The 26,142-nt window shown below is 45.4% G+C and overlaps 1 long non-coding RNA gene across 2 annotated transcripts, besides 1 other annotated feature; it reads left to right on the forward strand.

Moving 5' to 3' along the window:
• The first annotated feature begins 3,706 nt into the window (after positions 1 to 3,706).
• Positions 3,707 to 24,968, forward strand: LOC105375769 (uncharacterized). Of its 2 annotated transcripts, XR_001746095.3 has the most exons (4): positions 3,707 to 3,879; positions 14,642 to 14,703; positions 17,502 to 17,626; positions 24,883 to 24,968. It is a non-coding gene; the product is annotated as an uncharacterized LOC105375769 (long non-coding RNA). The 2 variants fall into 2 exon arrangements; XR_928667.4 differs by lacking the exon at positions 14,642 to 14,703.
• Positions 4,276 to 4,777: an enhancer, noted in NCBI's record as "NANOG hESC enhancer chr8:134157066-134157567 (GRCh37/hg19 assembly coordinates)". NCBI's record gives its function as "activates a minimal SCP1, AML or CMV promoter by ChIP-STARR-seq in primed H9 embryonic stem cells {active_cell/tissue: H9 hESC(primed)}" and the evidence as "EXISTENCE:reporter gene assay evidence [ECO:0000049][PMID:30033119]".
• Positions 24,969 to 26,142: the final 1,174 nt, after the last annotated feature.

The following is a 26,142-nucleotide window of genomic DNA, read 5'->3' on the forward strand; positions in this document are numbered from 1 at the left end:
GGAGACTGGAAAGTTCAACAGCATAGCACTGGCATCTAGCAGAAGGCAGAAGCGAGTTTTGAGAAACACAGAAGTGGGGCCAAACTTATCCATTTATCAGGAGCCCACTCTCAGGATAATTCCCACGACAACAGCATTAATCCATTCATGAGGGCTACTATGAAGGCTTCTTAAAGGCTCCACCTCTCAATACTATTACATTGGCTATTAAATTTCAACATGAGTTTTGGAGGGGACATTCAAGCTACGGCACCATGCTTATACCCCCACCCCTCCTTCTTCCCTCTTTGGCCTCATCCCTTAACACCCCTTCTCTTTAATGTCCACACTCTTAGACTTACTTTGTCCTGCAGTCTCAAATCAGCCTTCTGAGCTTTGTTCCACAGGTCAGTTCCAACAGCCGAAGGCCAGTTAACCTTATTTGCTGTATTAAGGCTATATATATGTATTGTTATCCTAACCAACACCCATGGGGAACTGACTAATACCTGGGGTCTGCCAATGTTACATATATAGTTTACAGGCCAAGCAACATGGTTAAAATCATAGTTTGTACTCTCTTAGTACATGTTATAACCCCTGGGCATTTAAAGAGGAACATTGTTTACCTGAAGATCACATTGTAATATTATATAATATATGTAATATTATGTTGCATCTTATTGTTCTATCTAGACTTTATAATTGTTTTTCTTTCCTCTTTCTCTCTCTCCCTCCTTTCCTTCCTCCCTTCTTTTTTTCTCTCTCAATTCCTTGAATTCTGTGTCTTTATCACATCTTCAAGGAATTTGCATGTTTTTATAATATCCTGATGGTCTTGTCCAGGTTTGTGATATCACTGCTTTAAGGCTTTGGATATAAAGGAAAGAATATGGATATCTGGAGCTTGACAGGCCTTTGAGTCCTGACTCAGCTTCTCACCAACTGGATGATTCAGAACAAACCCCTTCACCAATCTGGGCATTAGCTTAACGTGGAAAATGTAGATAACTAATTCCTTTCCTAACAGTATTGTGAGGTTCTTAAAAAGCAAGAGAATTAAATGCTCTGCATAATTAGAAATGGTGAACAATAATTAGAAGACATTTTCATGACCAGAATCTACTTCTGTTGAGCTCATTCATCACTTTGGACCGGGCCCCTTGTTTGGTGCTGAAGGCACAATGATTAAAGCTCCCTATGCTTGAGGAGCCCCAAGTCTAGAGGGAGACGCAGGCAAGTAAAGAGCCAATCACAATTCTGTGGAATACTTGTGATAATAGGGATAAAATAAAGGGGAGGCTTCAGGAGCAGAAGAAGGGTACCCAAGTCATATTAGTGGATGTTCTCCAGAGAGGAGACCCCAAGCTGAAAACCAAAGGACAAATAAAAATAAGCTTGGTGGCCGGGCACAGTGGCTCACTCTTGTAATCCCAGCACTTTGGGAGGCCAAGGCAGGTGGATCACGAGGTCAGGAGTTCAAGACCAGCCTGGCTAAGATGGTGAAACCCCATCTCTACTAAAAATACCAAAAAAAACAAAAAAAAAATAGCCAGGTGTGGTGGCAGACGCCTGTAATCCCAGCTACTCAGGAGGCTGAGGCAGACAATTGCTTGAACCCAGGAGGCGGAGGTTGAGTGACCCGAGATCATGCCACTACACTCCAGCCTGGGCCACAGAGTGAGACTCCATCTCAAATAAATAAATAAATAAATAAGCAAGCTTGGCGCAGAGTATTTGGGGATGTGGGGGTGGTGGTGTAGGCACCAGTACTGAGCCTAGGAGCACTTCAGGCCTTAAAACATCTGGTGAGTTTCCACAGCCTTAGTGGCTGCCTCCCCCACTTGCTGGGAAAGCCCCGGATCCCTTCTGAAGTCCATGTCAAATTGCCCATCACCTCCCCATCTTCCCAGGGGTACTTCCTGGGACCCTGTCCATCCTTCTCTCTGCAGTGATCCCAGGTTCCTGCCCAGACAAGACTGCAGGGTCTAAGGCAGTGCCCTGCACTCCCTAATGATGCCTATGCGAGTGGCATTCTGGCCTTTCAAAAAGAGAGTTATGGCCACAATGGGGACACAGGCAGGGAAGCAGCTAACCAACACTCATGGGGAACTGACTAATTCTGGGCTCTGCCAATGTTCTGCCCCCAACCTGAGCTCCATCTGCTTTGAAAGATGATGCAGGGGCTTGTGTTTGTCCCTGGCCTTTGCTGGTCCTTTTCTAAGATCACCAACTTTTGGGATTTTTCCCATCCTCCTTGTCTCTTTCTCATTCAGGCTGGAGCTCATTGTGTCTCCCCACCATCTGAACGAATTCACAATCCTTCCTCCCTTGTCCTAGTCCAGCTGTTGCCAAACATTCATGGAGTCCAATTGTGTGCCAGGCCATAAGAAGGCATGATGGGGAGGGAGAGGCCCCAGTTCCCTCACTGAGGAGATGACATCCCTGTGTGTCTGATTGAGGAGCTGGAGCTAGCCGTGGAAGAGCTGGGAGAAGGGTATCTGAAAAGAAGAAAAACAGGAAGCAAGGAAAAGTAAGCAAAAGTCAGCCCCTTTAGGCAGAAAGAAAACCCATGGATCTCACCTGTCTCATTAGCGTGGAAAAGTCAGTGTGACCTCAGAAATCAGTCCAGGTGTCTGGACCTTTCTGGTCCTGGAGAAGGAAAACATAGCATGAAAATCCCCAAGCTCTGGGTTCAGGCTCCAAATCCTCCATTCCTTCCTCCTTCAGGTGTCCTTCCTTACTGTGGCTCCTTATGGTGCCCCTTGGCCAGGCACTCGAGCCTTCCTGAGGCTCAGTTCGTTTAACTGTAAATGGGGACAAGAAAATTGCTGTCTGCACAGAGTTGCTGCAGGAATAAAATAGAATCGTGGGCTGGGCATGGTGGCTTACAGCTGTAATCCCAGCACTTTGGGAGGCCAAGGCCGGTGGATCACCTGAGCTCAGGAGTTCGAGACCAGCCTGGAAAATATGGTGAAACCCCATCTCTACCAAAAAATACAAAAATTAGCCAGGCATGGGGGTGCACATCTGTGGTCCCAGCTACTAGGGAGGCTGAGGTGGGAGGATTGCTTGAGCTCAGGAGGTAGAGATTGCAGTGAGCCAAGATTGTGCCATTGTACTCCAGCCTGAGTGACAGAGTGAGACTCTGTCTCAAAAACAAACAAACAAAAAAATAGAATCATGGACTTGGAGGAATTGCTGGTCCCTCTGTGTGGCCTGGTGAAAAGAACACAAGTGAGCACTGGCAGAGGACACACCTGTGTTTGAAGCCAGCCTCTGCTCCTTTCTAGCTCTGTGTCCTAAAACGAGTTACTTAACGTCTCTGAGCATGTCCTACGTTAGTGATAAAATATATAAATGTCCCTCTCTCAGGGTTGTTGTAAGGAGTAAATAAATTAATGTACATAAAAAGCACACAAAAGTATCTGTTACACTGCAACTGCTCTAGAGGTGATTGCCATAATGAAGAAGAATATTCGAAACTGGAGGTGAATCTCATGATTCTGCACTTTTTATCTGGATGTTGCTGGCTTTTCACCATGGCTTTTCTGACTTTGTTCCACAGTGTGTGTAAAGCACTTAATCTGTTCCAAGTTCTTTGTAAGACTTTAGTCTGAGGACTGAAGCCCACAGCTCATTGCCCTTTAAAGGAAGAGCTATAAATAGTACACTGGGTCATTAAAAAGAGGAAGGAATGCACCTGGACAGCCAAGTACATGTAAATTTGGCCAGAGGAGACTTCAGGGCCCAGAGCATGCCCGTCAGCAAAGTCTCCCCTGGCTTCTGCAGAAGAACTCTGGTCATCCAGGTGAGGGACCACAGGCCAGCCAGCTGTTCCTTCCAGACGTCTCCAGAAACCTCTATGAGTCCCTTGGAAGGTAACAAACTCAGACCAAGGTGAGTCACATGCCTCCAGTTCTAGACAGCCTCAGCCCTGGGGGAAGAGGGAAAATGAACCCTGGCGGGGAGGTGCCAAGGCTTCGTCCCAGCAGGTGTGGTGCTTCCTCTGTAGACTGGACTGGAGGTATCTCGATGGTCAAAAGTCTGGAGAGTCAGAGAGGAGAGGAAGGGTGAGTCCTGACTGCAACATAGAAGCTGGATGATCTTGGCCAGTTTCTCAACCCCTGAACCCCAGAGCCCCAGCTTTCTCATGTGTGTAATGAGATGCCGTTTGGGCATTACAAAGAATGCAGAAAGTGTGTCTGGCAATAATAGACGTTCAAGAGTCAGTTCCTCTTTCTCCTCTTCCTCTTCCTCCTTCTTAGTGGTCTTAGCATTTCCATTTTGTATCCCAAACATTTAGAAAAGTTCTTGGCACATCTATTTCTTGCTCGATGGATCTTTCTGAGAGAGTGAGGAAGAGCTCAGATATCCCCAGCTCAAAGTCTCTGTCCATTCTCACAGTGAGACTAAATTCACTGTGGTGTGTGGTAGACTGAATAATGGCCCGACAAGGCATTCATGCCCTAATGCCTGCGGCCCATGAATGGTTTCTGTTAGTTACATGACAAAAGGCACTTCACAGATGTGATGAAGGTTAGGACGCTTAACATCAAGAGATTTCTGAATCATCTAGTTGGGGCCCAGTCTAATCATATGATCCCTTAACAACAGAGAACTTTCTCTGGCCAAAGTCTGAGCAGTCAGAGGAAGAGGAAGGCAGAAGGGGAGGGCGCAGCTATCTCAAGCTCGAGAAGGATTCCGCACATTATTGCTGAATCTGAGACATGGGAGCACACATACAAGGACCAGCAGAGGCCTCTGGGAGCTAAGGGTGGCCCCCAGCTGATAGCCAGCAGGGAAAGAAAAACTTCCGTCCTACAACAGCAAGGAGCTGGTTCTACCTGGAACTTGGAGCTTGGAAGTCAATTTTTCACCAGAGCCTCCTATAAGGAAGGCAGGCCTGCTGACACCTTGAGTTAAACGTGGTATGGCCCATGTTAGTCTTCTGACCTGCAAAAAATGTGAGATGCTACTATGGATTATTTTAAACCACTAAATATGTGGTCATATTTCATACTGGCAACAGAAAAGTAATACACAAAGCCTCCAGATTATGAGGAAGACAGAAACACCCACCTCTTTGGCAAATACGTCCATTCACCAAGCACACCAGAAGTGCCGACGTCACCACCATGGATAGGTGTCGCTGAGTCAGGCACTATGCTAGCGGCTCCACAGACCACCCTTCAAGTTATCTTATTCTGAGGCTACAAAGGCTCCTGGCCCCTGAGGCTGTGGCCTCCAGGGTGCCAGGCAGGATAAATTAGGACCAAGGCCTTTTGGCCAGGACAGTCTGTGGAGAATGTATTGCGACTAAGCAAATCCCATGCAATGAGAGTCCAGTCATGTTCCACACAAAGTAAAGATTTTCCCCAAACATCCTATCAGCTCCATGTTAAAAGAATGTCCTGGCCGGGCACGGTGGCTCATGCCTGTAATCCCAGCACTTTGGGAGGCCAAGGCAGGTGGATCACAAGGTCAAGAGATCAAGACCATCCTGGCCAACATGGTGAAACCCCGTCTCTACTAAATATACAAAAAATTAGCCAGGTGTGGTGGCAGGCGCCTGTAGTCCCAGCTACTCGGGAGGCTGAGGCAGGAGAATGGCATGAACCCAGGAGGCGGAGCTTGCAGTGAGCCGAGATCGCACTACTGCACTCCAGCCTGGGCGACAGAGTGAGACTCTGTCTCAAAAAAAAAAAAAAAAAAAAAAAAAGAATGTCATAACTTCATTCCCACAGATGCCCCCATACAATCATGTGACACCCCATATCCGTTGCATGGGTCATGACGTGGCTGGTGGTGATTGGGAGTTGGTGGAGGAGACTGCTGGAGAGAGCTTGTCCCTTGTCCCCTCTTAAACTTGGACATCTCAAGAAGGTCATGCTTAAACACTTTGGGGTCAGAATCTTTTAGTTGTTGTTCCACATGCCAGAAAGGCAAAACCCGCCACTCTTCTCCTTGTCAACCTCTTTTCTTGCTCGCAAGAATTGAAACTGGATCAAAAATGTGGGTGCATGATGGTTTAGACAGAGGTATGGTCCAGCTCCATCAGTGGGGCTAAAAAGAACCCAGAAAAACTGCCTGGCTTTTCAATGACCTCCTCTGTAAACATCTCCATGGCACCTGGGAAAGGAGACCAAGCCAAATGTTTCTTTCTGAGTTCACTTCTAGTGTTAGTATTAGATATTTGTTCTGTTATTAATAACTGTCTTCATTCCCCTTTCCCCAGTGAGAAGCTGAGGCTGGGAGAGTTTACATAGGAAAGTTAAGTTGCCAGAGCACTCCCAAACATCCAGAAGGAGTGAGGGTTCTGAGATGCAGGAGAAGTGGATGATTTGCTTAACAGACAGTAAATAATCACCCGACAGAAGCCAAACTGTCAGGTATTGCTCCACTTACTTGTACATACAATTCTTCATGTCATTCCCACAAGAAATGAACAGTGAAAAATCCGTTTCACCCAATTCCTGAGAGGTCCTGCCCGAGGCCATGCTGCTGTAGGAGGGATTTAGACCAAAACAGTCTGGCATGAGGGCCCAAGCGTGGCCACTTCTGCAATCAGAGGAGGAAGGACATCTGCCCAGGCCCTTGGGGATGGGTTGTTACCATGCAGGGCACCAAGGGGCTGCTGTCGGGCAGAGGCGTCAGGAGGATGAGGCAATGTCAGGGGTCAGCCCTCCAGGGCACTGGGGAATAGTCAAAAGTGACCAAGAAAATCTCCTGTAAAGCCCAGGCGATTCAGCTGTTATTTGAGCACTGTCTCTCGATTGTGCAGTGGCAGGAAGTCAGCAGGTTGGGCAGGACCAAGAAGGCTTAGGCCTAAGGCCAGAAAACATCCCCCAGGCCTCCAGGCCCAGGCATGGCTCCTGTCAGCTGCTCCACGTGCAGCTGTGGAGCCCCTTGGGTATCTCTTTGGGTTTTCCTGTGGGCAGAAGCCGGGAGACAGCTCTGGAGGGAATAAGGGGCCACCATGAACTCTCCTCCCTGGTGACTTCACTGGCCACAGAGCCGCCAGCCAGGCAGTGAATGACATCATAACCGCAGCCGAGCTGGCTCGCCAGGTGACATCAGGACCCCAAATAGCTCTGACATGTGTTAGCAGTTAGGAGAATGAGCAGGGTTAGCATGGTCTCTCCTCCCAGCCATTGGCATGCCCCGTGGAATCCTTCTGGGAATTCTTCCCCAGATGGCTTCTTGGATTGACTTATAACTTTGATTACAGAGGCATTAAAGATTATTTAAAAAGGCAGACAAACAAAAAAGAGAGAAATAATACCCAAACCCCAACACCCAGAGAGAGCTTCTCATAACGTTTTGAAATATAGCCTTCCAAGCTTGGCCTGTTTATTTATGTTTTAAAGAAATGTCATTGTGTATATTTAACGTATACAATATAGTGTTATGGTACACATTTAGATAGTAAAAAGGTCACCACCATGAAGCAAATGAACATATCTAGCACCTGGTTTTTGTTCTTCTGGCAAGAGCAGCATAAATCTACTCATCTAGCATGAACCCCATGTACAGTCAGCACTCCAAACTCATGGGTTCTACATCCATCATTTCAACCAACCACAGATAAAGAATATTTAAAAAATAATAGGCCGGGCACAGTGGCTCACTCCTATAATCTCAGCACTTTGGGACGCCAAGGCAGATGGATCACCTGAGGTCAGGATTTCAAGCCCAGCCTGGCCAACATGGTGAAACCCCGTCTCTACTAAAAATACAAAAAACTAGCCAGGCGTGGTGGCCCATGCCTGTAATCCTAGCTACTCAGGAGGCTGAGGCAGGAGAATCACTTGAATCCAGGAGGCAGAGGCTGCAGTGAGCTGAGATCACACCACCGCACTCCAGCCTGGGCAATAACAGTGAAACTCCACCTCAAAAAATAAATAAATAAATAAATAAATTAACAACAATAAAAAAACAGTACAAATGAAAAACAATACAGTGGAACAGCTATTTATATAGAGGTGATTAAAGTAGGCACAGTGGTGCACCTTTATAATCCCAGCTAGTTGGGAGGCTGAGGCAGGATAATCACTTAAACACAGGAGCTCAAGACCAACCTGGGCAATATAGTGAGACACTCCATCTCTAAAAAGAACGCAAAGAAAAAGAAAGAAAGTACTATATGACACTGTGTGTAATTTATATGCAAGTAATACACCATTTTATATAAAGAATTTAAGCATCACAACTTTTCACATAGGCAGAGATCCTGGAACCCCTCCCCCATGGATACCGACGGGCAACTATACGGTACAATTTTTGTTACCTATACTCCTCACAGACTTGATATGTTTAAAAACATATCCCTATAGCATGTAACTATTTTCATGTGTAAACAAAAGTGATTCATCTGCTATTATTTTGTAATCTGCTTTTTTAAAAAACTTTTAAATAAAATATGGACATTTACCATGTCATTAATTATTCTAAACCTTTTTTTTTTTTTTTTTGAGACAGAGTCTTGCTCTGTCACCCAGGCTGGAGTGCAGTGGCATGATCTCGGATCACTGCAAGCTCCGCCTCCTGGGTTCACGCCATTCTCCTGCCTCAGCCTCCCGAGTACCTAGGACTACAGGCGCCCGCCACCACACCTGGCTAATTTTTTGTATTTTTAGTAGAGACGGGGTTTCACCATGTTAGCCAGGATGGTCTCGATCTCCTGACCTCATGATCTGCCCACCTCAGCCTCCCAAAGTGCTGGGATTACAGGCGTGACCCACCACGCCTGGCCATTCTAAACCATTTTTAATCACTTTATACTAGGCTAGTACTGAATCCTGCATTGTTGGGAGGAAGTTAGGTTCTGATATCTTAAGTGAAAATCCTAGATTGTCAAAATTACGTTGAATGTCTATTATGTCCATAGACATACAGTTGTGGTGCAGGGTATAGCCTCTCAGCTCTAACACAATCTGTTTTTTTCTCCAGTGTGGGAGTAGATCCCTGTTTCTTTGGTTCATTATAAAAAAAAGTAGTTGGCTTGCATCTGTGGGTATTTGATGCATCATGACTGTTTACCTAGCACGTAGAGTTAAATATTCATGTTACAACGTCACCATGTTTTATCCTGCGGGCCTTCCCTTTTGCTGGACATTCCTCAGCCTCATTTTGACCTCCTCATTGAGAACTAAACAGATGTTCTGAAGGTCCCAAATAGTCACACCACAGACTGAATTGTATAGAAATTCAGTTCTTGGAAAATGTCAGAGTTTGAAAGAACATTTAAGATCATCTCACTTCCCCTCCTCTCCCATTTTTAAGATGGAAACTGAAGTTTGAAGGGAGTAAGGCACCCCCAACAGGTTGACAGTGGCTGAGCCTGGCCGACCTCAGCCCGCGTAACATGGACACCTGCTAATTGAGGTCCTGGCAGGGCTGGCAGGAATCTTGGGTACGATATAATACGACCCCTGCCCCCACAGTGACTTCACACACAGTTTATCAGAGACCAGACTTCCACTTCCGGACGCACATACACACACACTACCATCTTGTGAGTGCTCATAGGCTGCGAATGCTCATGACTTGTCTGAACCTTACAACAGCTATGGCAGGTTGTCCAGGGTACAGATTATCATCCCCATTTCACAAATAGAAACACTCAGGCTCAGAAAGGGAGAGGAACTTGCCGAGGGTCACAAAGCTGGCCCTTGGGGTCTCCTGTGAGTCATTTATCTGACATCAACTCCACGGCGTATTTTTGTTCATTGTATTCCTCCTCTGACCCACTATGTCACACTGTGTTTCATAAGTCAGTGGGGAAGTAGAACCATTTCTCCAGTTGGGACAGACCCTCCTGGGGAGTGAAGGAAGAACTAGAACATAGGACTCCTAGATCCAGGCCAGCGGTTCTGGGACCTTTACTCATCAATATAGAGCCCGTGTTTCACTTAGAAAAAGGTCCCCCACTCTGTGGAGGCCCACCCTCTAGGATTGTGGCTTGGTGGGCAGAGCAAGGGCTGGAGTTCCACCATGACTCTTCCCCAACAGGAACTAAGCTGATACTATTGTGCAGGACACAACTTCCTCAGCCAGTTACAGCAGACTCGTCTGGACTTACTCAACCGAGTTCTCTTCTGGTGACGACATTTCTCTACCACGCTGGCCAGTCACATTGCTGTGGTAGCCATTACCTATCCTCAACTCATTGTCTGTCTGAAAGATGCAGAATTTCCTCCAACTAGCAAGCCACCCCTTCTACTCTGAAAAGACAGTGAGAGAAGGCAGCAGGCAAACCTGGGCTATTAACCACCCAAAGCCAGCGCCTCCTGGCAGAAATCTTAGTGTTTCTGGTTGTAGACACTCAGCTTGGCAGAGGTTGAGAAAGAATGTTGTTCCAGAACAGCTTCTCGCAGACGTCAACCCCAACTTCCGGGTCAGGCTTATTCACATCTCCTGCCTCTGCTCAGGTGGCATTCCTGCCCTGCCTGGCATGCTCTCCTCTCTTCTCCCTGGTGACCTCCTCTTCCTTTTCACATCTCCCTTTCTGTGAACCCTGCCTTGGCCTCTCTAGGAAGCTGGGAACTCGCTTCTCAACTCTCCTACAGAATATCACTGGTGCCATTTACCACTTAGAACATCGACTTGCAATCAGTTACACACCTGTCTCCCTCTCTGGATGGTGAGTTGTTCAAGGGCTGAAAGGTGTCAAACAGATATCTGTGACTCTGGAGCCTGTATAAATGACCTCATTTTCCCAGACTCTCTCCAGTCCTTTTTGTGGTCACCTTTTCTTTTAATGAGAATAAATGGCTCCAGTTGCCATCTCTCATACCTTGGGAAGTCAATTGCCCTCCCTGTGAACTCTGGAAAGAGCAATAAGAGAGATTGTCTGGCAATGGCCTGGGGAACGCACTATGTGCTGCCTGGACAATAAACTTTCAGGGACCAAGAGCCCTCTCCTCCCAGCTAGAGGGGCTCCACTTGGGCTGAGCTTCCCGCTAGACTGGATCTTTCATCCCCGGTGGCAGGGACTGCAACTTTTCATGGTGCTCAAGATATCCAAGCATGGAGCAGCCGGTTTCCCACACAACAGCTATAAACAACTGACACCCAAATGCACTGAGGTGCCTGGCAATTAACCTCTCCACTGAGAAGGCTGCTTTCTCATAGTGAGGCTGTGCCCCTTCCCTGGGAAGTCACTCTGCCTCTCAGAGGTGATGGAAGGGTGAGTTTCCTGTGTCCTCTCCTCTTGCCAACCTGGCCTTGGAAGTTTCCTTTTAGCAAGAAAACCAACACCATGCCAACACTGGAATTCGTTTCCAACACTGATGCCTGGCCAATGGTGATGCCCAGACAGGCCATCCTCCTGTGCCCACCTCCAGCGTGTGACCCTCTAAATTCCAGTCCTCCTCACTCAGTGTCTGCCTCCTGCCTCTGCTGCCTTCTCCCTGAAATGCCTCCCCCATCCATGGCTTCGATTCTCACCCTCCTTTTCCCAAACCCAGTTGCTTTAGTAGTAGGAGTCTTCCTAAAGGCCGAGTCATAAATATGACCCACAAAAGATCAGGGAAACACTGGATAAGTAACACAAGATCATTCTGAGCTCTTGGCCATCATACCACTGGACAACTACAGTGTCCATCCTTCTCCCCAAGCCCAGCCTCCCACTAGCCTGTGGAACTTTCCTACTAAGAAATGTTCCTATATTCTCTTCCTCTTCTCTTTCCAGATTGTGGCCTCTCCCTCCCTCTTCCCACCAGAAAAAAATCTGAAATTATGATTATGTTATCAGGAAAGTTGTCTTCATCTATGACTAGCCTATGTTCATGCCCTGAGGAGGGAAGGGAGAAAAGTTTTGCTTTTCTTAACCCAAGAGACTCGCATGGCATTTTTCTACACCAAAGAGCCATCCACCCATTTTCCTTCCCATCAGAAAAAAGTCTGAAATTACGATTATGTTATCAGGAAAGTTGTCTTCATCTAGAAATAGCTTATGTTCACACTCTGAGAAGGGTAGGGAGAAAAGTTTGCTTTTCTTAATCCAAATAGCTCACATGGCATTTTTCTACATCAAAGAGACATCCACCCCTGTTTTCCATCTTTAGCCCCACCAAAACAACATTTCTGAGGCTTTAAAATTCTAGTAGTTCCTTAGTGTGCACTTCAGCAGATTCACTCCCTACCTCTCCCAACTCTACTAATGATAACAGAGGGTCCCGTATCCAGTGGAGCTTCCCTGGGGCATGTGCTCTGTGACTTCTTCCTTTCACTCCAGCGCAGTGTGAATGAGGGGGTGAGTGAGTCGATGCTCTATTTCTGCATGTGTGTCAGGGGAGCGGGTATACATGTGTTGGAGTTGAAGGTCACATGTGTGTGTGATTGCATGTGGATGTACTCCCTTGTGCTGTTCCGGGAGGGATGTGTGTGTGCCGTGCACATGTGTGCTTACATGTGCTAGGGCTGGAGGTCAGGTAGCGTGCAGAAGAGGAAGAAATTTGTATAGGATTTGAGATTTCTCAGGCTGCCTCTTGCCAAGTGGTTTCCTCTGAAGCTCAGAATCAGCCCATATGGGCTGGGGTGGAAAATAACCACTGTAAGCAGGCAGTCCCTGACTCATTCCGAAAGCGTGTGGGCCCACCACTTACTACAATGTGTCTCACAATTGAATCTGCTCACCCTGCCTTCAGACTGTGCCTCTGAGGCCCCGTATTCCTTTCCAAAAGCTTGGGAGAAACCATGTAGACCCTTTATCACATCCATCTACTTTTTCCCTCCTGCCTGGCCCTCTTCCCTGGAACAAAGCTCACACTGCCATTTCTTCAGACTCTGTATCCAAAGATCTACCCATTAAAACCTCTGTACTCTCCCCAAGAGGTCCTGGAGAGTGCCTTCAAGGTTCCATTAGTGTCCTTGTGGCTGTATTTGCTCTGTCTTCCCTTTCTGTCTCTCCTACTTACAACCGCTGTGGAGACCCATCACCCCAGAGCCAAGTAGAAGCAACATCATCTCCGGGAAAGGGGACCACTGAGACCATCTCCAACAGAGAAACCATTACAGCGTCTGCTTCTTAGTTCCATAGAATATGCACCCCAGACACCTCATCTGTCCAAGATGATTTCTCTGTTCCTAATCCTTTCCCCTAACCCTGAGGTGAGAGTATGGCTAGGTCGGGCTCACAGGTAAGACTCATGAATATTTGTTGAGTACATTAGGCAGCAATACGGGCAGTCATTTTATATTCAGACCCAGCCATCTTGATGCATCATGAAGTGGCTTGAAAATGCCTGCCTCAAAAGGTCCCACTTTACTCCCAGGATGGTGCTACCTACTGTGCTTGGAGCTGTAGCCTATATGCAGGTTATTGTCCTGAGCTATGCTGCCCTGCACTACCACAGTGTGTACGTCCTGCTAATGACAAGAGAAGCAGTGCTGATATTCAGCTGGAATGCATCGACACACCTCTACTGGTTATTTATAGCCTGCAAGCACACCCATAGGTTATCTGCTGACTGGCTGGTGCCCTTCCACTGCCAATGGTTTATATGCTCCCCTGGGGGGGGTATCCCTCCCACCCACCTCCATACACTCCCCCTACACACATGCACACTCACTCATGCATTTAGAACCTTGCTGCTATAAGACACCCTGGAGGCCCCCTTGCCAGGCCAGCAATTCCTCTGGACAAACTGAATGTTCTATCTATGCCTGTAGCCACCTCTTCTTAGCACTCAATAGACCATGAGCAGAGTCAAAGGACAACTTCACATAGCCTCCTATCTCCCTAAATCCCCTCTCCTAGTGCCTCTGTTCTTCCACTACTCTGTCCCTCCCTTCTGTATCTGCCCTTGATTTCTGCATTAAGTCCATTTGCTGCCAGGTTCTAGGGACCTTATGGTCTTGGGCAATCCAAAGTAGAGCTCCACATGGCCCATGAAGCAAAGGCTGGGCCATGGAAAATAGATGTTACTGCTTACTGGTTGAGTTAGCCTCATTGAAAAATCTCAAATGGGGCCAGGCACTGTGGCTCATGCCTATAATCCCAGCACTTTAAGAGGCCAAGGTAGGCAGATCACCCATGGCTGGGAGTTCAAGACTAGCCTGGCCAACATGGTGAAACCCCGTCTCTACTAGAAATACAAAATATTAGCTGGGCGTAATGGTGGGCACCTGTAATCCCAGCTACTCGGGAGGCTGAGGCAGGAGAATTGCTTGAACCTGGGAGGCGGAGGTTGCAGTGAGCTGAGATCACACCATGGCACTCCAGCCTGGCCAACAGAGCATGACTCTGTCCAAAAAAAAGAAAAGAAAAGAAAGAGGGAAGGGAATGGAAGGGAAGGGAAGGGAGGGGAGGGGAGGGCAGGGGAGGGAAGGGGAGGGGAGGGGAGGGGAGGGAAGGGAAGGGAAGGTTTCAAATGGGAAGCTCATTACCAGAGGGAACTTCTGATTATCAATGCAGTGGATTACAAATTTCACAGTCACAGAAACAGACAAACAAAAGTCCAACTTAAAGTCTACTTTGGGCCCTCATCTTGCCAGATAACAGAAAACATAATTTAGTCATTTCTTGACAAATGGAGTCACTGCGTATACATGTGCAGTCTCTTTGGGATAGACGGTCAAGGGACTTCTCTCTCACTGAGTGACATCTGAATTCTGTTTGCCAATGTCATGACCTGATGTTAATGTTCTCTTCCAGGATTTGGTCCTTGCTTGTTGGGTGGCCAGGAAATAACAGCTTTGCACAGGCTGCTCAAGGTGGTGAGAGAAAGACCTATAGCCCCTTGCCTGAATCCAAACCACTGTTTTTTGGCTATTACAAGATAATTTATAAGTGACTTATTTGTATGCTGCATACTATTTTTTGCTGCTATACATTTTAATTTCCAATGTTATTTTGGGTGACTTAAAGGAAGTGGCTGGGAAAGAAAGCTTTGGCTTGACATACGGAAACTGCTACTTAACCTATACAGAATAAGAATATGGGCTTTGGAGAGGACAGATCAGGTTTGTCAGAGTGTGAATTCTCTGACTCATGAAAGTTAAAATGTAATCAATAAACATTCTTAACGGGGATAAGTGTATCAGTGTTAAAGCCACATTTTACTGAAGTTTGTTATTTTTTTCTTAAAAAATGTTCATTGCTTTTTTATTTTAAAAAGTCACACATTTAAAATGTAAAAAAAAATTATAACTAAAAAATTGAAAGTCACCAGTAAACCCAACAAAAATTCCAAAAATAACCATTTTAAATATTTTGATGTATATCCTTCTGGCCTTTTGTCTCTATGTGTGGATGTGTATAAATTTAAAGATAACACTAATTATTTATATATACTTTCATTCCTTTTTTGGGGGGTTATTATATTTGCTGTATATCATGAGCTGTTTCAGTTTTTCACTAAAATATCTGTGAAGCCATTGACGATGAAATTGAAAGAGAAACTTAAAAAAGAAAATCTGGCCGGGCACTATGGCTCACGCCTGTAATCCCAGCACTTTGGGAGGGCAAGGCAGGTGGATCACCTGAGGTCGGGAGTTCATGACTAGCCTGACCAACATGGTGAAACCCCATCTCTACTAAAAATACAAAATTAGCTGGGTGTGGTGGTGCATGCCTGTAATCCCAGCTACTCGGGTGGGTGAGACAGGAGAATTGCTTAAACCTGGGAGGCAGAGGTTGTGGCGAGCCGAGATGGCACCATTGCATTCCAGCCTGGGCAACAAGAGCAAAACTCCATTTCAAAAAAAAAGAAAGAAAGAAAAAGAAAAAAGAAAATCTGTCTTTTTTTGAGCACATATCATGTGCCAGTCATTGTCTGAATGTCTAATATATCTTATCTCACCTGTCTTCACAAGAGCCTTAAGTGTTAGGTACTATCCTCTCCCCCATTTCATAGAACAGGAAAGTAAGACTTAGATGAGTAATGTGTACAAGGTAACAGACAGAAAGTTGTGGAAATAAGAATTGAATTGATACATAAGATTCCCAAAATCAAGATCTTAATCACCACACCATTAATTAATTAATTATTTAATTAATCTGTTTATTCATTCATTCTACAAATGGTTGAGTACTTGCTATTACCAGGAATTATTCTAGAATACATCCATGATCAGAACAGGCAAAAAACAATGCACCCATAGAGTTATATTCTACTGGGGGTTAGGTGAGCTGAAAATAGACAATGAATAAGAAAAAGCAGAAATGTTACAATACAGTAGATGTCTGTCAGTGCTATGGAGAATAACAAAACAGGGAGGTGTGATGGGACGGCCATGCAATTTGAAATAGAATGCATAAGGCAGACCTCATTGAGAAGGTAATATTTGAGCTAAGTCTTGAAGGAGGTGAAGGAGCGAGACAGGTTGATGTCTGGGGGAAGAACACTCAGGCAGAGGGAACAGCATGTGCAAAGCCCCTGAAGCAAGAGGGTGCTTAGACTGTGTGAGGAACAGAAGGAGGTGAGAATAGCTGAGACAGAGTGAGCAGAAGAAAACATGGAGGAGAGGAGATTTGAGATTTGGGTCCAGTCACATTGTAAACCTATGTAAAGACTTGGGCTTTTTCTTTAGGAGTAATGAGAAGGTATTAGCAGACTAAATAGAGTGGCGTCATCCAGCTTGGATTTTAACAGGATGCTTCTGGTATTTGTGTAGAGAAAAAGCTGTACAGGGAGCAAGGATGGAGAGTCAGGAAGCTAATGCAAGCATCCAAGCAAAAGACGAGGGTTTGGACCAGGGCAATGACAGGGAACGTGAGCTGTGGTCACATTCCAGTTCTATTTTGAAGACGGCAAAGGAGGCACATGAGCATGGGAGTGCTGAGGGTTACGCTAGACATTTAAGGCTTTGAAGTTGGATGAGATCGCCAAGGGCATGTGTCCTAGACAAGAGTAGAGGCCTGAAGACTGAGCCCTGGGCATCCTAACAGAGGTTCGAAAGATAAAGGGAAACCAGCAAACAATGAAAGCAATGTAGGTGGTGAGACAAAATATCAGTCTCTTTTGAGAGCCAATCTTGGGCAAGTTCATTGACCTGCATTATTTCATCAAATCCCTATTCCAATCTTGTCGGGGAAAGTATCCTACCCATTTTATAGATAAGAGAATTAGAGGCTCAGAGGGAAGAAATTATTCAAGGTATCAAATAGGCAAGAAACAGAGCTAGGATTGAAGCCTTTTTTTGGATGTAAAGAGCATGTTTCTTGGCCTGGCTGGGTTCTTGCCCTGTGCATTATACAAGGTAATATGGAAGCTCATGTTTCTCTTGCCACAGTAATCTCCAGGAAGCAATCCTCAACCACAGCAGAAAGGGAGTTGATTGGTGCATATTTCAGCTTCCTCCATCTTGAGTGAGGCAATTCTGAGGTGTGCCATCCACCTTCTCCCAGAACACCACAGTGGAATTGTGACCTGGTTGCCCATGGTCACTGCTGTGAGTTGACAATGTTCCCTGACTGGTTTCCTTTAAGTCCCTGCCTCACCTGCCCATTCCCTTAGTGGCATTGCTCAGATCACCTGCCTTACAAATCCCTTGCACTCATATTCTTATTGCAGAGGCTGCTTCTGAAGAAACCCAACAGTAGACTCTGGTGTGAAGAACAAAGACACACAGCTTGAGCCTGGGGATGGACACCTCCCAGCAGCCCTGGCTGCCACTCACTGCTGTGCTGCAGCCTGAGGTGTGTGGGGATGGGTGCCGTACACACTGTGTCTGCATGTACAACACACGTGCATCCAGGTGCACATCTATTGGTGGATGTGGGCAGGTGTCCACGTCTGTGTGCCAGCTCAGATGTTAACAGCAGGAAAGGAAAACTGAACCAGCTCCTTATGTAAATATTGGACAACTAGAACACTTTTCTGTTTCTTTGAGTCATTTCAGAGTTTCTGAAACTTTGCCGCCACTCCCCTTGGATGGAGGGTGGGAGTGGAGGTTGGGGGAAAGGAGGTTATTTTTGGCCCGGGGATTTCAGAGCTCCTCCGTTATGTGTGTTTCTCCTCTCTCTCCTGCCCACCGAAGCCCTCAGAGGGGAAGATCTGCTGAAGAGAGGGAGAGGTCCTTGCAGTCCCTTGGCAAATCATGTGCTACCTCTGTGGCTCTGGATAGCAGAGAATTCACTGAAGGACATGAGATGCCGAGTGGCTCCCCCATGCCAACCTACCCCAATGCTCCTAACTCAAGAGAAAAGAGGTGGACAGACACCAGATTCAAAACAGTTCCAGGTTTAAAGACAGAAGCTGTAGGTTTGCAATCTCAGTTTGTGTCCCTGACCATGTCATTCAGCTGCTCTGAGTGCAGGGCTCTTGCCTGTGGAAAGAGGATGAGGAAGCCTGCCCCATGGTCCCTTAGGGTGGCTGTGAGTCTCCCATGAGACTAGCAGCCTGAGGAGGGCATCTGAAAGAACACTTTAGAACCAGATAGATACAGGTTCAAATCTTATCTCTGACATTTCCTTAACCCAACCTTGAGAAGTAAATTAACCTCTCTGAGCCTCTGTATTCCCATCAGTAAAATGGTGATTAAAAATATTTTAATTTTATTTAATTAAATGATGTAACATATAAACTACCCATTAATTCACTGGCAAGTAGAATGTGCTTATAAATGTCTGTTTCCTCCTTTCTATCTACCCTGATACTTCCCAGGACAGTGAAGGAAAATAGAGACGAGTATAGGTAGAAAAATGGGAGGGAAATAGATTTGAGGCATAGAGCATTTTTCTTTGGTTAACCAATGCAGAGGGTTACTAGAGAGTTAATTTAATCCAATATACAAACTTTACTGCCACAGACAATAAGGACAGGTAGAGAATGAAGAGCTGTAATATTCAAAGATTCGTACTACAAATTGACAGGAAAAACACAAACCACCCAATAAAAAATAGGAAAAAGTGTAAAATAAAGCAATCCAAATGAACAATAAACATAGTAAAAGATACTTAAATTCACTAGAAGTCAGGGAAATAAAAATTAATATAAATTTCATGTAATTAATGAGACATTATTTTACATTCATCCAGCTGGCATACCTAAAAAGAGCATTAACACTTGTTGCTGGTAAGTGTTCCATGAAAAGAACGTTTGCATATATTGCTGGTGGAAATGCAAATTGTCACAGCATTTGTATAAATCAATAGGGCAACATCTATTAAAACTGTAAAACATATTAATATGGTTTGGCTCTGTGTTCCCACCCAAATCTCATTTTAAATTTTAATCCCCATGTTTCAGGGGAGGGACCAGGTGGATGGTGATTGGATCATGGGGGCGGATTTCCCCCACGCTGTTCTCGTGACAGTGAGTTCTCACGAGATTTGCTGAATTTTAAGTGTGTGGCCCTTCCCGCTTCGCTCTCTCACTCTTCCTCCTGCTCTGCCATGTGATGAAGGTGCCTTGCTTCCCCTTCGCCTTTCACCAAGATTGTAAGTTTCCTGAGGCCTCCCAGTCATGCTTCCTATTAAGTCTGAAGAATTGTGAGTCAATGAAACCTGCTTTCGTCATAAATTACTCAGACTCAGGTAGTTCTTTGTAGCAGTGTGAGAATGAACTAACACACATATATTCTTTTATCCAGCAATTCTACTTTTGTGACTCAATTCCATAGAAATTAAACATCAGCACATCAAGATACAAACACACACAGTCAGGTGAAGGTTTAAACAAATAATGCTACATTATGCCATGGTGCATTATGTGATTATTTAAGAGACTGTATTTGGATTATATTATTAGATTTCCATAACATATTATTAAGCACTAAAAGTAGATACAAAGAATTGTTTTTATATCATATGATGTCATTTTTGGCAAAGCAAACAATAATAAAAAAACTATACATGGATGCACACATTTGTGCAAAGCAGAGTGAAAAGTCAGAGGGAGTGACTGTCGGGTTGGTAACAAATTACTCAGAGTGGGTTCAAGGGTTGGGGTGGGGGAGGGGTCTCATCATATGACAGGAAGAAGGTAAAGAGAGTAAAAAAGGAAAGGAAGACAAAAAGCAGGACCATGAGACCAAAAGCATGTACAATATAATCCCATGTATGTGCATCGACGAGCATTAAAAAGTTCAGAGAAAATAAAAGATAACATTAGATATATAACCTACTGACTCAATAAATGAACATTATACATTGTTGAGTAAAATAAAATTGTAATGACAGTGAAAATGCAATGAGTAGGACTTAAACTTCCAACGCCTCATGGAAAGGACAGCCCCACAAAGAAATGAGTAAGACACAGGCCTGGGGCAGCCAGTACTCAGAGGAGCTGGAGGCGGGGCAGACCACTGGGAGGGTGAAATTAAAAACACAAAAAACTCCCACATGCACATGTATCCCAGAACTTAAAGTCAAATAAAAAAGAAGAAGAAGAAAAACACAAAAAAAGAACCCTTTCCTGTGATAGAATGACCAATAGAAGTTGTGAGGAAGTAGAGAGAGAGAAGCAGAAAGAGTGAGGAAAAATAAGGGAAAGTTTTGGGGTACTGATTTTCTTATTCTACACAGTGGAAAATAAATAGGTCCCATGTAAATACGATGGCTTAAAAATAGTAGCTTGAAGTGGATAATATATAAAGCTCTAATCATAATAAACAATTAAAAATTAAAATATTTTAAATTCTACATGTTGTAAATATTTAATTTTAAACCTTATGATATTATAAATATTATATTTTTAATTAAATATAACCAATAAAATAGTAGGGGTGGGAGAGAAAGGGGAGTGAGATCTCTGGCCCACCATGGCTAGCAAGAAGTCTACTGAGATGACAGTGATGACAAGACTGCATGGTCTCTGCCCTGTGGAACCCATGGTACACTGTGGAAGACTGGAAATAAACAGGGAAGTGAATGATTTTACACTGTGGTCAGAAGTAAGCTGTAATAGGCAACAGTGGGGCTTGGGGGTGGTCCTCAGCAGACCGGCTGGTCAGGGAGGCTCTTGGAGGAGACAGCATTTCCATAGAGATATGAAGAATGGAAAAGTGTTGGCCAGGAAAGGCACTCTGGGCAGAAGGAATCTCAGGATGCAGGTCTGGAGCAGCAGGGAGCTTGACCTGCCTGAAGATTTGACTCATGAGGTTCGGGCAGCTGCAGCAAAGTGAGCAAATGGGGTGATTATTGGCCAGAAGGGAAGAAAGGCAGGCAGGAATCAGGCCATCATCAGCAGTGGGGACCTTATTCTCAGAGCAATGTGAAGCCTTTGATGTGTTTTAAATGTGGGAGTTACAAGACTACAGTTATGTTTTTGAAAGATCACCATGGTGGGGCAGGAGAAGACCTCAGAGGCTGCTGGGTGCAATGTAGGTTGAAGGTGGGGAAGTGTAGAAAACAGACTGATGGAATAGCAGGTGCTGGCATTTTGCAGGGAGTAGAGAGAAAGCTTGGACCAGAGTGGTGACAGCAATGGGAAGGAGAGGAATTACAAGACTCAAGATCCAAGGAGGATCTTGTAGTCAAAAGGATTTGTTAAGAGATTAGATAAGGAAATGAAGAAACATCTCCATTGTTCTGGCATTAGCAACCAAGCGGATGGTGTTACCATTGACTAACATAAAAAGACTGTGGAGGAACATTTTGGAGATCCCACCAAGAGCTCAGTTTTGCACATGCTGTCCCTGGGGTGTCCATGACACATCCGTTGGGCATATGAGTCTATGGTTCAGAGGAGAGGCCTGGGTGGGAGGTACACATTTGGGAGTTGCTGGCATCCCATGGTATTTAAAACCACTGGAATGTATGAGGTCACCAGAGCAGAGAAGAGACCCTTAAAAAGTTCAAAACTCAACGCAGTTATTTCCAAAAAAAATACTCAGATCCTTGAGGATTTTGGAAAATAAATGACTTGGAAGAATTTTTCCCCTGGCACTTGGTTCCCCTCATCGTCTTTGGCTGCAGGAGTGATGCTGCTGGCCCAGGCCTTGGTCTGCTCACAGGAAGACGCTACGCCAGCTTGAAAACCACATCTCCTCCAAGGGTCCCGTGCCAGGCCCCGTGACCCACCTCCTCCCTCTCCCCTCCCTTTCATTCCAACTCTACTATGAGGCTGCATAGAAATTATGTTTTCTGTTATCTCACAAGATGAGGGCCTATACAGAATAGGAATGGGCTTTGGAGAGGACAGATAAGGTTTGTCAGTGTGTGAATTATCTGACTATGGATTTTACAAGATTCTGTCTTCTGCTACAGAGGATGAAAGCTGGTGTGAGCCCCTTGCTCAGATAAAGCGTGGCTGCAGAAACTAGCTCTCCTCAGCCTTGCCTCTCATGCCCCTTGAGCTCTTTTCCAGAACAGATGCCACCCCATGTCACCAACTGTCTTCTTGATATTCCTTCTCAGGTTGTCTCGTGGGCTTCTTCTCACTTACTATGTCCAAAACAAGATTTTTGATGTTTTTTTTTTTCTCCAATGCTGACTCTTATTCAACTTTCCTAATTTCTGTTAATAAAAATCATCATTCATCAAATTTGTTGAATCAGAAGGAAAAGATGGATAACCAACAGAGATCCCTTCCCCATCTCCGTGGCCCATGACCATCAGTCTCCAAGTTCTATTGTCTCTGTTCATGGCTGTTCGCTCCTCATCTTCTGTCACTACCTTAGCCCAAGCTTCCACTAATCCTTGCTTGTCTCTCTTTGCCTGGAGTCTCACTATCTGATTCCTCCTAACTCCTCAAAATCTACCTTCCATATATGATCTTTCCAAATCACAAATCTGATTCTGTCTCTACCATAAAACCCAAACAGCCTTCTCCCATTCCCTCAGAAGAATTTCCAAGTTCCTTAGCTATCTAAGGGTCTCAGTGGCATGGCTACTACCTGGTTTCCCAGTCTAATCTTCCCCAGTTTCCTCCTACACTTTCTCTTTCATCTTAGTGAGGTTCAAGTAGCTCCTCTAATTCTCTGCCCACACACTGTTTCTATTGCCCAGACACCTTCTTTGTCCAGCTACACCTTCTTATCCCTCCCTGTTTCCCTCCCCTTCTCGCCACCCCATCTCTGATTGCTATGCTGTCTCCTCTGTGATCCCATTATTATGCTATCCTGACCCTTTTCACCCTGTGATCTGTTCTGTAATGGAATGAGCTGCACCCCCAACCTGTCTGCATGTTTTTTGAAGGTAGGGTCTGGATCTGATTGGACTTTGCTTCCTGTGCTTCCCACAAGGCCTGACCCCGAACACATCAGGCAATATACCTGAAGGAAATAGGAAGCATGTCCAAAGGGGACTTGAAGAGGCATCCATGGAGGGACAGTTGATTGAGTTGTAAAGAAGGGATGTGGAAGCACCAGGGACCCAGCAATAGCACACGGCATCACTTCACCTCTGTGAAGGGGGCTAGAAGAGGGCACGGTCCTACTGGAATGGGGCAGGAGCTGGACTGTGGAGGGTGGGCCACTCTGCATGGCAGGAGCTATAGGACCCATGGTGATCGCCCAGCACATGGGGATCATTCCTATTGGCTTAGTTGCCTGTCTTCCTCAGGGGACTGTGGGATCCTTAATAAACCAGGTCTTGCTCATCTCTAGACCCCCAGAATTAAGCACCAGGTCTTCCACTAAGTCTTAGTTAACTAATTAATTGAGGCCTCTTGATTTCCTAAGACCACTCACTCCTTGATGGTGATCTCTTTACCTACCATGGGCTTCCCCCAAAAGAGACATCAAGGGCTGAGCTGATCACCCCTGTCCCCAAATGGCCACACTCTTGCAACATTCAGTTTCCACTGGATGTGCCCCTCTCCAAGTGGGGTGCAGGGCTCTGGATCCTGCCTCTCAAACCGAAAGAGCAGCATCACTGAGTGCACACATAGATAAATACAATGAGTTATGGCCAAAAGTTAGGGCTCCAGTAGAGAACTCAGAGAATTCAGGTGTCTGAGATGACTGGGACAGCCGGAGAAAAACCCTTCTGGATTTCCATTCTGTATTTCTGCCTTCTGGGGGTTAATATGGAAATAGGGAACCAGGCTCAGCCCCTAAAATCCTTCAGCTCAGTGTCTCAAGAGCAAGGGTTAAACAATGTTCTCTTTATTTTCTCCACACACAAGGCAGTCTTCTTGTGAAAGTGAGTGGATTATGTCACCCTCATGTGTAGAGCTCTTGAGTGGGTCCCCATTCTACCTAGAACTAAACCTAAGCTATCTCTGTGGTCAGCAAGGCCCTTGAGCATCTGGATCCTGCCTAATTCCCCTTCCTCACCTTACTCCACATCCCCTCCATTCACTGTCCTTCTCCACAGCTACTTTTCTTTTGTCTCCAAATATCCCACACTCACATCTCAGGACTTAGTGTCCTCTGTTTTCTTTGCATGAAGTGCTCTTCCCCCAGACTATCTCATTCTGCCTCTTTCTTGTTATTCAGATACCAACTCAAGGGCACCCACTTTGCCTGGTCTTCCCTGAACCTAGCTAAGGAATGTGCTGCCTCCTAGCCATGCTCTACCACGTTCCCTTATTTTTTTTGCCATCACAGCACTTAATAAGACCTCACATTGTTTTATTGATTTTGGTAGATATTTATGATCTGAATTTCCTTTGTAAGAGCAGCTCAGTTTGCCTTTGACATTATCATATCTTCAGTGTGAGACGTGCCTGGCACAGAGTAGGCACTTAATAAATCATTGTTGAGCGGTTATTAACTGTAGTGATGAGAACTAATGTTTAATAACCACTCATTGTATACTGGGGGAGATGGTACTTTGGGGGGAATTTGAATTTCAGATTCTTGTTTTGCCCATATTTGCTGTGTGTTTTGCCCAACCTACTGAACCTCTTTGAGTGAAATGGGAATAACAGCAGCCTTTTCTTCAAGGAAGTGGGGATGGAAAGGGCATTGGAGTTGAGAAAGTCAACTGGATTTTTCATACTGACAGTTCTCTCATTCAATCTTCCCAAGCTCTTTTGAAATGTGTGTTTTCATCCCATTTTACAGATGAGAATACTGATGTTCAGAGCAACCGACTGAACCCCTGGAAGTCACTCATACTGAAAATGGCAAAGCAGTATCTGCCCCTGCTCTGTCCAATGCTAACAGGACTGCTGAGGCCTCCCCTCCACCTCGCCTCAAGTTGACATTGGGCCTGTGGAAATAGACCTCTAAGCCAGCCTTTCTTGCTAGTTTGGTTTTAGCCTTTCTTGGACTCAGCTTTGCCATCTGTGAAATATGTGAGTCATCTAGATAGTGTCTGAAACCTACCAGCTCCAAGTCTATGGTCCACGGATGGGCTGTGAGGACAATCAAGACTGAGGCAGGTTTTCACTCAAGTCCTGGAATATCTGGTCATCCTTCCAGGGTTCTTCATGGCAGGGAAACAAAATCAACAACTGAAGAACATGAGGTTCAGGAGATTTAAGTCTGAGTTCCAGTGTTGGCTTTGGGTGCCTCTAATCAACCACAAATCTATCCCAAGCCCGAGGCAGGCTGGTCTTACTCAACATTTATGGGGTCTTGCAGGGCTTATGAGTGAGCTCATGTGGGTGAGCTGTGGGTACCACAGGACCAGCACAGATTGCTCCAGCACATTGTCCAGCCACGAGACAGAATTTCCCTCTTACAGATCCATTGAATAGCCCTGGCCTGTGGGTTTGCTGTAAAGATGCAAAAGCCCTGAAGCATTATCTGCCAAACCTCAGCCCTGACCATGGTTAGGCTGACATCAGGGGAGGCAGCAGGAGAGGGAGAGAAAAGGGTATCTCATTGTGGAACTGGGGCAGTGGTGGGCAGGGGCTGATGCAGGAGGGGTGCCATGGCCCAACTGCTCTTCACCCACGGTCCTTACACAGACCTGATCCTGCTAATTCTGACTCAGCTTTCAGACTCAGCCTGCGGACACTCAATTTTTAGTAATAAGCAGTCTCCTCATAATTTACTATATAGCAAAATAAATTTTTAAAAGATATTAATAGTTGGCACCAGAGTCTCTTCACTTCATTTATTCATTTTTACAACAAACATCTATTGAGCCCCTGGGATGTGCTTGTGCTCTTTTGGGCTGTGCAGATTTAACGGTAAAGATAACAATGTTCCAGTCCTACTCAAGTTTGCATTCTGATGCAGAGAAAGACAATTATAAATCATAAAATATGTATAATATCAGTTAAGGATTGGTGCTTGGAATAAAATAAAGAAGTAGAGAGGGGGAAATTGGTCATTTTTGATATGATGGTCCAAGAAGCCTACTGAGGTAACATG

Source organism: Homo sapiens, chromosome 8 (genome assembly GCF_000001405.40).
Source record: "Homo sapiens chromosome 8, GRCh38.p14 Primary Assembly".
In the NCBI taxonomy this organism is placed as follows: domain Eukaryota; kingdom Metazoa; phylum Chordata; class Mammalia; order Primates; family Hominidae; genus Homo; species Homo sapiens.